Below are 17,395 nucleotides of genomic sequence, written 5' to 3'. Positions count from 1 at the left end.
CATCAAACTGATAACCAATGATAGCTAGTGTTTGTTGAATGCCTGTTTGTGCCAGCCATTTGGGTTAAGTGTTTTAGGGGCATCACTTCAATCCCCACAATAGCTCTGTAATGCTGGAGACACTGTTCCCATTTCACAGATGAGGCGGCCAGACTTTGGTCCTGGAAACAGAGAAACAATTTTCCAGGCATCCAGGGAGACTCTGCCTGACCTTCCATGAATCAGTCCTAGAGGCCGCTTGTATCCATTCTAAATCAAATAGAAAAAGGCAAAAAACCGTATTCGTATTCAGTAGCTCCTGCCTTCTAGTTCTTATGTACTCAAAGGGAGCTGCCTTCATTTCTCATCTCACAATCAGCTTTATGTGTGAAGCCTAACAAATAGTAACTCTCTCTAGAAATACCTTATGATATTTTCTCTTAAGAAGACCGAGTAGGGGAAGGAAAGTTGTCAAAGGAAAACATTTTAAGAGAGGAAAATGGAGATAGTTCATTTATACTGGCTAATGAGGAAAGAAAAAATATCTCTATTGTTCTCCTTTTTCTTTCTCACTACATTTCATACTTGCTCCCTAATGCTGAAATCAGAAATCATATGTTTAGCATATGGCAAAAAAGGAGACTTAAAATAATATTTGTCAGTAACTCTAAGCCCTTAAATTCAGCCCTCCAAAATCAGATGAAGGTGTGCAGGCTACTCAGAGAATGAGATCGAGAAAGGAAGTACTGAGGTGCTTACCAGCAAAGGGAAAAATGTATTGCTGTCACTATTCAGATAAGCTCAGGAAAAGCTTCTAATCCCACTGCTGAGGCCATGTGTGTGCATTTCCACATACGTTAGGATATTTATTTTTCATAAGGTCCTTTTGAGAAATATTTCCTGAGAGAAAATGGTAATATTTAGACATATCCGCTTTAAAAAATTGCCTCTGATTTTTGCAGTTGAGTTTGAAATGTTTATTTTTCTTTTGGTAAATACTAAAAATGCATTGTTCAAAAGCAACTTTTTTCTTCTTTTAGCTAGAAATTTTCACAGCGTTTACTCCTTACAGTAATGCTTCCTGGTATTTTTTTTCTAAAGGGGTCAGAGTCTAAGCCAATAATAGTTGCAGTTTGAAACTTATTACTAGAAATGTAAGGATTAGTATAATTTTAGTTCTTCCTGCATCTTAGGAATGGAGAAGATTTGTAGATGGAGAGTCATTTTTCCAAAAGTTGTATGAAGGTTGCCTTCTCATTCTTTCCTTCATCTCCTTTTCTTACCTCACTAGAAGGTCTAAATGTAATCGAGTCCCAGTTTTAAAATATAATTATATTGAATTTGGTTCAGTGCATTGAACTGGCTGTATAGATCATTTTGTTGCATTAATGTGCTGTTTTTGTGCATATCATAGTGATATTTGTCCTTAGGGATTTCATTAGTTTATTTTAAACCGAAAGGGTTGCTCTCCAGCTGAGACTGTTAAATGATGAATTTGAGTTTCTCTCTTGAATCTTCAACTCAACCCATTGTTGGCATCTTCTTGAATATTACAATATGAGGCCTCCAGAGTTCCTCTTGTCCTCTGCTGGGAGACATCCACCTGACATCTATTTCATGGTTTAAAACAAAGCCTTTGGCATAATTTTTGTTAATTTTTTTTTTCTCATCTATATCATGACTGCTGAAGTAGTGTTGGTTCTATTCAGATGGTAGCTTTTGCTAAATATGTCATCTGTGACCTGGGTTTTAGCTTATGGTGAAAGAACATATAGAGATGCCCATGCCTGGTCACTCTACGTCAGTATTCTCCTTCAAGAATTATCATTTCCCTATGTTGTTATCTCTTTGAGTCAGGGCAAATGATAGAAATAAAAAACACAGAAGGCTATTTTGTACAACTAGGAAACACACAAAATATTCTTTACATCTTATTAAGGCAAAATTTTTGTCTTACTGTGGACAATTTTTGTTTGTTTTCATCAAAAAGATGATGTTTGTGTGGTCTCAAAGTTGAAATCAAGGCATAGGAATCAAACCTTGTGAATTTAATATCTAGCTTACTGTATAGCTATAAAGTGCTTTTCTTTTTTGTCTTGTCTGGGAAATTCTGTACAGGATAAAACTTCTCCCTTTCTTAGAAGGGCCAATAGTTTCATGGAAAGAGCCTGAATTCTCAGAGGAGCAAATGCTATCTCTGTGAAAGAGAAAATTACAGTATTATTCACAGAATGTTACAAATACTCATATTAAACATAAAAGCAAATCATTATGTAATAATTCTATTTGCTGGACCCAAAAAATTCTAGTGTCTCTAATAATAATGCTTTATTGCCTTTGTTTAAATCCAAAGATTGTGATTTTCTGTTCTTTTTCAAATAGAAAGGTGTATTCCCTATTGTAAAATACTGCTAGGAGCTTTCTTTACCTAGAGAAATGTATTTCAGTTGGGTTCTCTTAAGAATTAGTCCCATTAAAAAAAAGTCTGAGATAGAAAGGGTAAATATAGTCAGATCTATGGCCTTACTCCAAAAATATTGTGCTGTGTTTGTTACTTTTCATTATACTTTTTAATGCCCAACAGACTCATTCAGTGAATTTGAGGTTTACTGCAGACTTGGAATTATTCTTTGTTGTGTGTTAAACTAATTAGGCTGAAAACTTTTTATGTGCTTTTGTTCCACTTCACATAGAAATTGTAGATTATTCATCTTGGATGAATTTTAAATTATTTAAACTTTGCACTGTTAGTGTGTGACCCTCTGAGACTCTTTTTAAGGAACAGACAACTCTTTTTCCTGCAGACATTATAGGTTTAATTTGCTTTGGATACAAATAACATTTATCTTGTGTTCAAAAAAAAAGCACATGCTTATGTTGTTTATTATACTTTGATAGATTTTCCAATTATTTCTACTTTTCTTTAAACAAGCATATTTGGAAGTTGTGCTTTTTAAATCTTGATGAAGTAACACTATCTTACCATGTAGTTTAAATGACAAAGTGTCATCCTCCCGATGTGATTCATAACGTCTATCCCAGGACAAATTTGTTTTCTCTTCAAGCTCACTGAAGTTTCAAATCCCTCTCTCTGTATTTTACCCAGCAACAATCTGCAACTTATTTTTCTCCAGGAAAATTGAATCTGTTACTGTTTAGTATTCCTACCAGTTTGAAAAATGTGGTTTATATTGGCATCAGAGCAGTAATTTACATATATTGGGATAACAAAAATGCATGCCAGAAAAAGATCAACATAAAATGAAGTGCAGAAAAGCTGTTTTCCTTCAACAGCAACTCAAAGCAAAGTTAATAGAGAAATTGATGAGCATTTGCCCTGAATGTGTCACTTGTTTCTTGTAGGTGAAGTGTGACCAGTATTGGCCTAGCAGAGGCACAGAAACCCACGGACTCGTTCAAGTAACGCTGCTTGATACTGTGGAGCTGGCCACATATTGTGTTCGAACATTTGCACTTTACAAGGTTTGCTTTTCATCTTTTTCTCCTCCCTTTCCCTTCTCTATTGTTTAAAGAAAGCTTCTTTTGAGAAATGAAATCTCTTAAGGCTTTACTTAAATCTTGATCTCAATGGCAACAGTGAAGAATGAAATAGATCTTCCATTATCACTCAGCCATTTTTCTTCTTGTCTGGCGATTTATCAGTAAATATAAAACTCTTGCTCCAAATGAAAGTTTCAGCCAATGAAGAGTAGATGAAGAAGAACTAGCTCTTCCTGTAAAATGTGATAGGAGCTCTCCTGGTAGTTAAACCTGAAAAATATAATGCTTCTCACCTAAGAATTTTGTCTTCCTGCGCAAATATTTGTCATTTACAAATAGCTTGGGGTTTCTATTTCCAAAGAGTGTGTCTTCCCAAAGGCTACAGGGTGGTAGAAAGGAATTAAAATAGCACATTTTAGCATTACCTCTTCCCTGTTATTCATCATTACCACCTGAGGCTTGGAAAACAGAATTTCAGCTGATATTCCTATTTCACAGAATGGTTCAAGTGAGAAGAGAGAAGTGAGACAATTCCAGTTCACCGCCTGGCCTGATCATGGTGTTCCAGAACACCCTACACCTTTTCTAGCTTTCTTACGTAGAGTCAAAACCTGTAACCCTCCCGATGCTGGTCCGATGGTTGTGCACTGCAGGTAAGAAGCGTTTGTTCACTTGCAGTCAGGAAACAGAAAGCTAAATTGACTCTCATTGGATGTTTCTGCAACTTCTTGACATTCTGGAATAGTAAATGTCTTCATAAATAATACAGCTCTCTTTTGGTCAAATGAGGCCTATGCTAACATCAATAGGATGGATTTGACATAGATGCATATTTCCCCTGGAGATAGTAGGTAGCTATGGTCCACTGCTATTGTCTTTTCCCAGTGAAGAGAAATAAATAAACACAAAATTAAGTGGGCACATGGCTATAAATATGTAAAACAAAAAATAATATGTGGGGGAATATTCTTAAAAACAAATTTGTATTGTTTGACAAGTTCTTGTGGGCTGGACTGATACAACCTTTTTACTATTTATAGGGGAAAAAAATTACTGAACAAAATAATAATATATCATACAAGCTTTAGGGAGACTATCTTATTGCTTAAAGATGCCTTCTGTACATTAGTAATATCAAGTCTCATGACAAATCACTAATTTGATTTTTAAAAATGTATTTAATAGAATATATACAAGTTCTATAATTTGGAAGAAGTCGTTTTATGTACTCAAAGGTAATAAGTTGTATTTCTCTCGAAATGTATAGTTTGTATTTTTTGCTTAACTCTAACAGCTACATCACCACTCAGATTGCGATATATATAAATGTTTATAGATTTTTAAATATTAAGCTGATTTCTTCCAGTTGTTTGAGTGCCTCTTAAGTATCATTATTAGCAGACTACTCAAGCTATCTGGTCAGAGTCTATTTATTACTATATAAATGTATAGTGCATATAATTTCATGATAGTTCTTTATAACCTGAGAAATTCAAATATGAGAAAATATTGCTTCTTCCACAGATAAGTAAAATAGAAGTCTGGGAGTATAGGAAAAACCCAAGAAAGCATCTATCGTAAATCACTTCTATCGTGACTTAATACCATCACTCTCTTTCATACCCCATATTATACTATAATATAAATATAATACAGTAGACCCTAGAAAAGGAGCTAGTTTTTTAGAAATGGGGTCAACGGGCTGATCAGAATAAAAGCAGTGAAATTCACCTAGCCAAACCATGCTACAATGCTCATTGTTAAACAATGAGCTGGCAAGTTCCAAACAGGATAAAGTTTCTCTTTTCCAGCAAATGTTTTCCTAGATAAAAACTAGTAATAACATTACCTTGTATTTATGGAGAGTATTTTACTAATTTCAAAGCACTCCCCTATGCTTTATTTTGTTTGATGTTCATAACAACAGTATGTTGGGTTAAGAGAATTATGTCGTGTCAAGAGAAGTGAGAGGCTACAAAGTTTGCTTCAAGTACTGATAACTAAGAAGGTGATGGCGTAATCGGCCTCAAGTCTTATCTAGATTCTTGTTTCCCTACATCCAAGACAGGGTCCTTTGAGGACTGGCCACTCCAGTTGCAGTTTTCTGCATGATTGTAAAACATTAAAAATTATTTTTAATTTGAGCAAGTGGTTTTACATCATGAAAGTAGACTTCTGGTTCTCCTGCCTTTTGGTTTTAATTCAGGTGCTAGTTTGATCAGTCTGTATGCTCACAGTTCTTTGCAGGCCTCAAAGAGCCAATGTACCTGATTATATGGTGCCTCTGCTTGGTCAGATCTGACCTTGATTATAAAAATCACACATGAAACACATGAATTGTTTTCAGATAGAGTTTGGCCAAAGGATAGAGAAACAGAAAATTTGGTCTAGCAGAAGAAATGTTGCCCTTATATGCCTAATGGCAAAAATACGGTACACACACACACACACACACACACACACACACACACACAGACACGTGTGTAATTATATGTTTAAAATAATGGGAACAAAAATTAGAGACACATAATTTGGGAGTTTTCACTGAAAAACAGCATGATGATTTTTTTCACATTGCATTTCAAAATACAGAATCTGTGCTTTCTCCAAATGTTCTTCCCATTTCCGTAAATTAAAGTGGAGGCACTAGAAAACTGAGATAGGTAGGTAGGTAGATAGATAGATAGATAGATAGATAGATAGATAGATAGATAGATAGATAGACAGACAGACACATACACATACATACATACATACATACATACATACATACATACATACATAATTTTTAAAATGCATTTCACCCTCTGTAGATTATAAGCAAGGTATGGGTTTCATGCTAGGCACCGTGACAGATACAAAAATGTTTGCAAGCAAATAGCAAATATGAGAGATAAGATTAAATAGCTGTAATGCCTTATTTTGAGAAAATACACACACACACACACACACACACACACACACACACACACACACCCGCATCCATGTTATGTTAAGCCACCTGGACTCACCTCTGAGAGAGACAGGCTACTCAGGAGAAATAAGGAAACAAAGATGAATGTGCTGAGCTAATAGCTGCTGACATTTGGAAGTGCTGTGCCTGAGGCTCTGGAGAAGCTGCTTATTGAAACAAACAACAGAAGAGTAGGTATATTGGTGGAAGAAATTTGTTAGCAACTTCGAAACAATGAGGGAAAGGAACTGCATAAACTGAGCTCTGTGAAATAATTACCCATAGGTAATTTTACATGTCTGGTAAGAAGTTTTGGCCTCTTTATTTAGGAGGGTCATGTCAACATCGTCAACATCCATGTTATCTTGAATCCTTGAGTTGAATACAAGCCAAGTTAAAACTTGACAGTATAATGTTTTGTGACAAAGCAGCAGATTAAAGTCATTCTTAAATGACAGTTATCCGTGTAGCATCCCAGAAATGCTAGTTTAGAAACCATTTCTGAGCAGAAAGAAACTATGCAAAAAGCCACAATAGCCATGTTACAAAGGGATACTGATCACGGTTAATCATGATCATGTTACACATAATCACAAAAAATAGTCTGGAAGGTGAATACTGTATTTTGTGTTGTGATTTCTTTTATTATGTACTAAACTTTTTTTCTATATTAAAGAAGTAGTGACAAAGTAGATCCAAGCCTTCTGCCCAATATATCCTGTGAGAATGGAGGAGGTTTCAAAGAAGTCAGGTAGTAGCCCAAAAAAGGTCAGGCTGGCGGTGCAGTACAGAAAAAGGAAATTATGGTCCTCCAATGATTCTGTGCTGTAATTGGACTAAGACAAAAATGAGCCATTAAGTAAAAGAAATTCTAACAATCAACAACAAAAAAGAATTTTAGGGATAGCCTAGTGCAACAAGCGCAGACAAGGCCTTGGAAGGTCAAGGAGGACAGAGTCTACCAGATTTCTAAAAGAAAGAAGGTCTAGTTCAAACAGGCAAGCAAGGAAAGGCCAACTCTAGTTATCTATCAGTTCATACAGAGCATAGAATCTCAACATTGAGAGTACACACTCTGGAGAGATAGACTGCCTAAGTAAAATGTCAGCTTGTTTACTTACTGGCTGTATGCCTTTGGACAAATTATTTAATCTCTGTTTCTTCACCTGTAAAATGGGATAACGCTATAGCAATGAGAATTTTATAAAAATTAAGTAAGATGACATAAAATAGATACATATAAAGCACTTGAGACAGTGCATGGCATATAGAAGTATGCAGTAATTTTAAATTATTAATAATTATTCATTACTGAGTACCTTTTAAAAGCTGTGTGTATATTTAGAACTCTGAGAAGAAAAATTCAACATGAATTTGGATATCATCTACGTAACCTGAGCCATCCATTTTATTAAATAACAGATGTTTATAAACATCCAAATCATTAAATGAATGGATTTTTTCAAATGTACATATTTTCTACTATGGCAATCCCATGAGACTTTTCTCAGTGAGAGAGAACATGTTGATGCTATGTGTTAGAGAGGATCATTTATAATAATACATCTGTTTGTATAAAGACCTGAGAAACCTTTCAACTCTTAAAATGATGCTGTTAAAGGAACTTAATGCCATTGTCCTTGATGCCTTCAAGATGAGGTGTGAACTGCTTATCATTGCATTCATGCCCCTTTGTAATTTAGGCTGATCTCACCCTTCGCACCTCATTGTTGACTCCTTGGGCCATCTTCTGATAGCTACACATTCCAAATATCTTCATCTCTGGATCTCAGCCAAAGATATTTATCTGGTCTAGAATTTCAACAATTCCCCTTCTCTACCTGATGGTGTTCAACCTTGATGCATAATCCAACTTAAATAGCATTTTCTATTTGTATTGCAGAGGTTGCAAACTGGCTTCAGATAGTTTTGTTGATATACACGATAATTTTTTTAAAATTTGAGCATGAATTTCTTTAAGCTGGAATGCACTATCCAGTTTTGCAAACCCTTCCCACTCCCTATTGTTTTACACACATTTATGACATTGCTTTATCTTGTAGACATTTGAGTTGTAACTCTGGAGAAACATTTTAAGCTTATTCCCCATTTATCTTCCCACAGGAAGAATTAAATATTCTGTAAATTCTCATAGAATAGGTTCACACTGTGCAAGTTTAGCTATATGTGTGCAGATCATACGTACCTTGAGATCTCAGAAGGCATGAGTCATGGCTTATGTACATTTTTACCCCCAGCTCTTACACCTTAGTAAGCACTCAATAATTGCTTGTCCAAGTTTGTTGAATTACATATGGCATTTTAGTAATTTTTACAAAAATAGTAAGAGTTTCAAGGCTGGACTGATTTTTTTGGTTTGTGTTTTCACCTTAGAGACTATATTTTTTTCCCTTTATATTGGGGTATTTCTTTATGAGAGCTTACTTTTTAAATTGCCTTTGCCTTACTTATAACTATTTCTGAGTTCCTTTTTCTACCACTCTACATTTCATGTTCTTTCCCACATACCATCTATTCCATGATTAAATTTAGACATAGCTCCCCATTTTGTAGCAATACTAATAGTTCAGGATAGTTGAGCACTTATTCAACATCAAATAATCTTTCTTGCCAACTGAAGAGGCCCTGTCATAAGTGCTTTATATGTGTTACTGCTTTTCGCTTCCCGTGGTAATTTACAAGGAGTAATTTTAGTCTCCCATTTCACAGAAGAAAAAACAGCAGAGGCCAGGTAAGATCAGCTTGCTTGCCTGAGCTCATACTACTAGTGGTGGCAAGGCCATTATGTTCCCCATGTTGCATGGCCCTATAAATCAGGCAGATTCTCCAGACTTTAGGTCCCATGATGGTTTTTAGCTCCCCTTTCTGCTGTCCCTTTGGGGGCATTTCTCTGATTTCTCTGTCAAGCCTTCCCTGGTGACCTGGTCAGAATGAGCCACTCCTTCCTTTCTGATTCCATACCACATTGCTATATTCTGGCCTTTCTTTCACTCTTTCTAAATCAAAGGCAATTGCTAGCATGTGAGTCTTTTCCATTCTTTAATCACTGGAACATAAATAATCACAATAGCTACCAATCATGGAGCCATTACTGTTTTCCAAGTATTACTGAGCAGTCATTTAATCCAGAAAATAGTATATTTTGCTTGCAAAGAGCATTCCGCACAGGGAGGTAATAAGTGATTTGTTCAAGGTCATACAGCATATACATTTCATCCTGATTTCAAAGTCCATGGCCTGTTTACCCATCATTATATCCAGTTCTTACTCTTCGTATTGCAGAGACCACCTAGTCCCTTATACTTAGCTCTTTACTGCACATGTGTAAAGGTTGTCAGATATTTGCCATTATCTCTTCACAGCACATATATATATATGTGTGTGTGTGTGTGTGTGTGTGTGTGTGTATATATATATGTGCAGTGCATGAATAGAGACATATAGTATTGTTTTTATCTTATTTATAAAATGTGATTTTGGGGCAGAACTTTCTATTTATTAAACTGAGATTTTCTTAAGAGGTCATGGATTACATTTTCCTATATCGTCTTAGTCTTCCACTTAGAAACTAAGGCCGTTTTGTTCCACTTTTGAGCCTTGTTCCTTATGTTGTTTTATAGAATAATTTGTGGCTTTATTCTAAACCACATATTCTATAAAGACTATATTCTAGTACCAGAGGGACATGACAACTGATTTGCTCTAAGTATTTGCATTTGTTAGGAATGAATACATTGGGAAAAAGCTGTAATTTCAGTGAATCAGTTATAAAACCTTGACCCATGATACTAGAATGAATACATTGGGAAAAAGCTGTAATTTCAGTGAATCAGTTATAAAACCTTGACCCATGATACTAAATCTTATGTCACATTAACTCTTTTTAAGACAAAAGGAAGACTTTCTATTCATAAGAGAAACATTTATTTATGAAAAAAATTGAAAAGGGGATAGATCACAACTCCTGAATTGATCTTCTAAGTGAAACAGTCTCAAGGAAAATAAAATAAGCTTCCTGAGTATCACTTAAATCTATCACAATCATAGAATCAAACCACTCTTCAGAACTGGAAGGAATAGGGACTGCATACCACATAGAGAGCAATAAGGTCCTAGAAGCACCAACAGGCCACTAAAATGGCCCAGTAAAAAATCAGATGCCAGTTTGGGGTTGTAAAAACTCCTAAGTTCCAATCTTCATAATACTTTTTGACTTTGCATATGGAAGCACAACCAGGAAACTATGTAGGCCATATTCATAGCATAACCATGTACCCCTAAGCCCAACCCAATAGTGATGAAAATGGCCTTTTCAAAGTCAAAAGAAAGATTTTGGAAAGCATTGCATAAGAGCATAAAAACAAAAGACCTTGTGATCCAAAGAAGCTAAGAGTGCTGTGGAAAATTGTTTAATACATTTTTAACCATTCATTCTAAATTCCATTTTTATTTCTTCTAATGTTCCATTCAAATGTCTCTTCAGATCAAAGACCACAAGTATTGCCAAAGCATGTGATAGTTTTGAGATGCTGACAAACGTGAACCATAGACCCATGTTTTCCTTAAACCTGGGGTTTATCTTTATGTGTAAATTACGGAATAGGAGATGCTAGCCTTCTGTAGATGAAAGGTAGGATTGTTAAAAATGCCAACATCTCGATAAGAATGGGTGGAGTGTACAAATTATGTCCTTATTTATGGAAACATTTTAAGGTAAGGAAAAATAATTATGCCATGTGGAACCCATTATGCCAGATTCTGTTTTCATACACCAATAATTCTGTATAAGAAGCAAATGCGTAGTTTATGAAACAACATAGTGTTAAAAACAGGAGGCTGGGTCTTCAGTCTGTTGATGGCACAGTCCTATGATAGAAAAATATCTTCCTTCTGCCAAAATAGTTTAAAAGTAATGGAACCAAAAAAAAAAAAAAAAAAGCATTAAAAGGAATTGCATAGTGTCCCCAGTAGGTATAAAGTGTAAAACTCAAAATGGAGAAGTTGAGGTGCTAGGAAGAGCATTCTGGCTGCCTGATGAAATGCAGAATTTATTTGAAAAGAAGCATAATAGATATAAATGCAGTGGAAGAGAGGTGAGGCCAATAGTAATACAATACTATCTAACTTCAAAATCATATATCAGGTCTATTTGATGAAGGTTCCTTCAAGGGCAACTGAGAACCTATCACCAATCCTGTTCCCATTTCGTGCCTAAGAATAGCAACCAACTCACTTTTGTGTTGTAAGTGACTGTTTACAGAGCATCTCCCCATCACTTATTTTATTTGATGTTTATGATAAGAGTGGCAGATGTGCATTATTACTTTCCTCACTCGCCAGCTAAGGAAATTGAGACCCTGAGAAGTTAAGTGATTTGCTGAAGAAAACGTACTTAACTAGTAAGCGGAATCAGAAGGAGAACCCCCTTTCTGATCTATGTGTATATTATACTGCCATTTTCCATTTTGCTCAATGTGTATCCTACAAATGGGGGTAGAACTGTCCCTAACCTACAAATGAGATGGCTCCTAGCACATAGAGCTGCTCTTAGGGGCCAGCATTGTATGGTAGTGAAAACTCTGCAATTGAAATTGTTCTAACAAACAGAGTTCAAATCTTAGCTGTACTATTTACTGCATCTGTGACCTCGAGCACATTAAACAATCTTTCTAAGACTCAATTTCCTGATCAGTAACGTGGGGATAATAGTGGTATTTCTTTCATAGTATTGGTTTTAAAGATTAAATAAGAGCCGTGTAAAGTGATTCATTAGCCTGTTACATAGAAAGAAGTCAACAAATGTTTACAGTTACTGACTTTTAAAAATTATTGTTTTACCTCACAGTTATTTAAATTGACTCTGTTAATGTCCACAAAGAATACTATTATATTTTCTGGACTGTGAGTTTGAGTTCTACGTAATTGTTGATTCAGAAGAGTAGAAAACATGTGCATGTATACATTAACATAGAAGATGGGTGGCAACTGGAATATTTAACACGGAAAAATGTGTTAAGTACTGTTATAATTATATCATTGCACTAAAATAAATGCTTTGCTTATTAGAACCAATTGTTTCTATAAGCAGGGTTTCTTAACCTCAGCAGTTTGGACATTTTAGATCGTAGAATTTTGGCTATGAGAGCCGTCCTATACATTATAGGATGCTTAGCAGCGTCCTTGGGCTTTGCTCACCACCCTCACCTCCCTTCCCCCACATTGTTACAATAAAAACATGTCCTAGGCATAGCCAAATGTCCCCTTGGATATAAAATCGCCCCTACATGAAAACCACTGCTTATGGTAATAAAACTAATTTTTAATTTTGGCAGAATTATTGGGTCCAAACGATAACCCACCTCAAAGCTTCTAACTTAAAAAAAAAATGCTTATTTGAATGCAACTCTTATTTTAAATATTTGGAGAACTTCTTTGTGAGACTTACTTTAATTATAACCTTTTAAAGCATACAGAGAACTAGGCTCATTACTTGAAAAGAAATCTAATAGTGTTTCTTACCTTGGTCACCAACCATACAAACCATACGCTTGGCTCCAGGTATCTCTTGGCACTAGAAAAATAAATAAATAAATCCACTTTCAAGGACAAAGATGTGCCACCATTACTGGATTCAAAAGAACAGGCCGTAGGCGTTTAACTCTACTGCCAAGAAGGAGTTCCAAAAATATTTTTGCACCATGGCAGCGTTGCATTAAATCTTTGTCCTCTCAAAGTGGCTAGTTTTAAGGGCCATGCTCTTTGGAGTTGATAAATGCTAGTCTTTTGTGCTATGATATTAGTCACATTGCTTCGTATTCACACTTGGTATGACGTCCAGCATTTTGGCAGTTCCAAACAATAAGCCCCAGGAGTGCCCTCAAGTGGCATATGACTTAGTGACTGTCCCTTTCTCATTGTTTAATGGAGGCCAAAGATAACAGATGAGATGAATGGAAAGAAAGTGAGTCATAATGTCAGACTGCCTCCTCAAGCTTGCAGGTTCCTGAAATTCTTTGCCCTTTGATTTTTGAGGGTTCAGATTTCTGGGACAGCACACTTATTTTTAAATCACAGAAATTTACCAAAGATGAGTTGCTTATGAAAAACTTAAATATTTTTCATTTTTTGTTTTTGTCTACTTTCTTCCAAGGGACATGAGCAGTCTTGCTTTTTCTGTCTCTTCCCATCTCACCTCCCTCAATACCTCTTCCACTTCCCCCCAAAATTCTTCTCTACATTGCAGTTCATCAAGGGAGAGGCAGCAGTTAAGTGTTTCACCAGTGCACAGTGGTGCTTGCTGAGTGTATGGTTTGTCATATCTCTAGTATATTAAAAAAAGAACTAGATAAAATGAGTCAGGATTAACTGTGGCTCTTCCATTCCAATGGTAAACAGCCACTTGCTCTTGCTCAAATTTCATTTAATGTCTGAAAGGGAGAGGATGATGAGAATTATGATTATTTTGAGAATATTTCTTTTCTCTCTGTTTTTGTTCATTTGTTTTGGTGTTGAGCATTGAATCATATTTTAAAATACTATAACCGTATTTCTGTTTCTGGTACACCTGTGTGCCACAGGAGTTGGCAGAACGGAGGGTATGTCTGTCAGTTAGCATTGCTACCTACAAATACCAACCCAAAACACTGTGGCTTAAAACCACAGTAATTTGTTTTTTCTCGCAAGTCTGTGGGTTGACTTGGGGCAGGACATGGATCTTCTGCCTATCTCTCCTGAGCTCTTTTTCTCAGTCAGCTTGAAGGGCTGGGAAAGCCAAATGGGGTCTCTCTTTCTCCCCAAGGCTTTTCATCCTGGTCCAGTGGGCTCAGGGTTCTGAGGACATCAAAGGGGAAGCTACAAGGCCTTTTGAGACAATTGCTTTTGCTGCATTCCTTGGTTTAAAACAAGTCAGGGGCCATTCCAGATTCAAGGAATGGGGAAGCATACTCCACCTTTGGATGGGAAAACAACAACTCATTTATGACCTCATTTATTCTACCTCTGAGTGCCACATTGCTGAACCTTATTTACTGGATTGGTGGAACTCTGCTCTCCATGCTCATCAGCCTGGCTAAATACAATGTGAATTTCCCTCCCCAGGCTCGATGAGAGGAGCCAAGCCCCCTAAGCTGACCCCAAAATACAGGGTTTATGAATAGTATGTGAAATAGGTAAGAAAGTAGGAAAAAAGTCCATTCTCAAAAATGCATTTCATAACTGCTACCTGATTACTTCTGGTAAAATATTAGCTTGTGGGTAGGAGAAACTTGTGCTCTTAACTCTCCTTACATCCTAACTCAAAAATATTTTCTTTACATCTTCCTGTAATTCAAGATTTACTGGGGCTAGTGGGCCTCTTTTTGAACTCAGAAACAGGACTATGATTCATTCACAGTGAATCATAGCCGTGGAAGGGACATTTCCAGACTCTCAGACCACTTCCCCTCCTGCAGCCTTCTCTTTTTTTAATTTTTTTTTTAAATTTCAGAGTTGAGTTGAGAAAACAAAATTAGGCCAATGAGGTTGACAGCTTTCCCATAGGCTTCTGCTGGACTCAAGTCTTCAGACTGCGGGTCTAGTATGTTTTCCACTGCAGTATGGTCCTTAAAATTTTGTTCAAATCAATTTGATTAAAGGGTCCCTTAACATTTTCTAGATGCATTAGGAAAATAACCAGAAAGCACCTGTATATTGAGAGGAAGTGTTATGTTTGACACCAAGATGATTGGAGTAGGTAATTTTGACACATTAGACCCAATTAAGCATCCCAGATCTTCAAGCCCATGAATAATGGGAAGAAAGGCTGATGGGTAGCCAGGGAGCACCCTGAATGCACTGGGTACCAATTTGGTCAGTGAGGCTACCGCAGCAGAAAATCGTAGAGCGATGCCAAAGGGAGATGGAGAAGATGTCAGAGATAGATAAACTTGTCCTGCCTTGCGGCAGTGCCTGGAGCTGTGATGGTGGAAACCACTTCAGGCCACTAAAAATTACTTGACATGCTGTCTTGGCAGGCCCTGCTCTGGTTCACAGTGGCTGCCTTGTGTATCTGCCGCTCCCGTTGGAGTGCTAGCCTGGCTGTGCCGTGGCTGTAGCATGAGCTTTTTAGTGTCGATATGCTTGGGAGGCCCATCAGCTACAATTTCCTCATCTCAGGCTCCAGCCAGCTGCAGCAGATGCTATTGTTACCTCTTCTATTCGATAAAGTAGGAAGCAAAGAGAGAAAGAAATTTGTCAATATTGTTTTTCTGCTGGAACCGAAATAAAAACTGTGTGTGGTACACTGTCCAATGATAACCCATGTGCCAAATCTCCATTTTGTGTAACACGCTTATATAAGACTCTGCTTCTGTATTTCTTAACGTAATGTAAATGACCTTCTTGATTCCATTGTAGATGTGTTACAATTACAGCCATTCAGATTTCTCAATTTGGATTTGTGCTATTTCTTGCACTTGCAAACCCTTTGCTTCTGACCATGCCATCTGCTGGAATCATTTATATTTCTTTCACACACTCACAGTGTTTGTTATATGCCAGTATTTAGCTGTGTAAAACTCTGAAATATTGTATATAAATAAACAAATGTTTAGCAAGTATTTTCAAACCCTTTGCCTTGATAACTGGCATTAATAAGGTACATTTGTGTTTCTAACATAAGTACAGCTGCCGAGAGAATTTCTTGTTACAGAAATGTATAAAGTGACACCAAAATCAGAAGAGAATCCCTTTTGAAATAAAAGCTTGCATATGCAAGCAGTCTCTGTGCTGAGGACAAAGTAAATGATGATGAATTCAGCTAGCAAAAATTTCTTTTTGGATACAAAACATAGCTGGGGGTGGGGGCTGTCTGTCTTCAAACTCTCCTAAGTTGCTGGACCTTCCAAGTTATCCCATCAAACTTTTGAGCCCCAATAGGACATTGGTCAGCCTGCAAAGGCTTATTAATTTCTTTCTCACTGCTCTATTCTGATCACCCAGTTAAGTGCAATGTGAATTTCCTTCACAGGACTGGATGAGAAGAGCAAAACCCCCAAGTACAACCCAAACTGAGGGTTTTTTGGTCAATCTATAAAATAGGTAAGAGAGGAGGAAAAAGGGCCTTTTAATTTTTTTCAGAACAGCCACCTGATCTTTTTTGTTGTTGTTGCCATTTTCACCTGGTTGATTTGCTTTTTCCTCTTGAATCCCTAACTACCCCTAGATGTGTATAGAAGAGTTGTGAATTGGAGTGCCTTTTTCTGTGATTTTTCCCTTCACTGCGGTAAGGCTCCTCCTTGTCACTGAAGCAGAGCTTATATTGAGATTTGACCTATGTGTTGTCTAAATACAGATTATTTGAAGATGCTGGGTTTTTTAAATTATACTGTCCTCCAAGCTAAGAGTGAATACTGTAAATGAATGCAGAAGATAAATGTATATAAGATGCAACCTCAAATGGTCACAATGGTAAGCCTCCAAATTTTATCAAGAGCTAGGGTTGTTGGATTTTTGTATGGACAAACAGAGACCACGAATGGTCTCCAGATATAATCTATGTTTTACACATGCTCAAAAACCCTAGTAAAAATCAAATACTTCCTAAAGCAGTAGGCAATTGCATATATAGTAGGCAATTTTAAAATGTTAAACTGATAAATCAAGCTCCTGGATCTTTAAATCTTCATTTTAAGTGTGTCTTAATAAAAACAACTCTGAATTCCATGACTTTCACTACATACTTAGCTTTCAGGATCAAAAAAATGATAATTGTAGAAATGTAGAAAAATAAGAGATATTGGATAAAACTGTATGATCTTGTGCAAGTCACTCACTTGACTGAAGTTATAGCTCTGTAGAAAGGTAGAGAACAGTCTGGTCATTTGCCAATGGCATCTTCTCAGAGGAAAACTGGATAAAATCAGATAGATTAAATGCTTGTTTACTCTGATGATGATTATGATG

The 17,395-nt window shown here is 36.5% G+C and overlaps 1 protein-coding gene across 55 annotated transcripts in view; it reads left to right on the top strand.

The window, feature by feature from the left end:
* Positions 1-17,395, top strand: part of PTPRD (protein tyrosine phosphatase receptor type D) — a 2,298,757-nt gene that overhangs the window by 2,232,934 nt on the left and 48,428 nt on the right. For all 55 annotated transcript variants that reach the window (NM_002839.4, XM_017014961.3, XM_006716827.5 and 52 more), the window contains 2 exons: positions 3,343-3,462; positions 3,979-4,133. In NM_002839.4, coding sequence (NP_002830.1) covers positions 3,343-3,462; positions 3,979-4,133 — 275 coding nt within the window. The remainder of the gene's footprint in view (positions 1-3,342; positions 3,463-3,978; positions 4,134-17,395) is intronic.

Source organism: Homo sapiens, chromosome 9 (genome assembly GCF_000001405.40).
Source record: "Homo sapiens chromosome 9, GRCh38.p14 Primary Assembly".
Taxonomy (NCBI): Eukaryota; Metazoa; Chordata; class Mammalia; order Primates; family Hominidae; genus Homo; species Homo sapiens.
The sequence above is the reverse complement of the archived record's forward strand: the minus strand, read 5'-3'. Positions and strand labels throughout refer to the sequence as shown.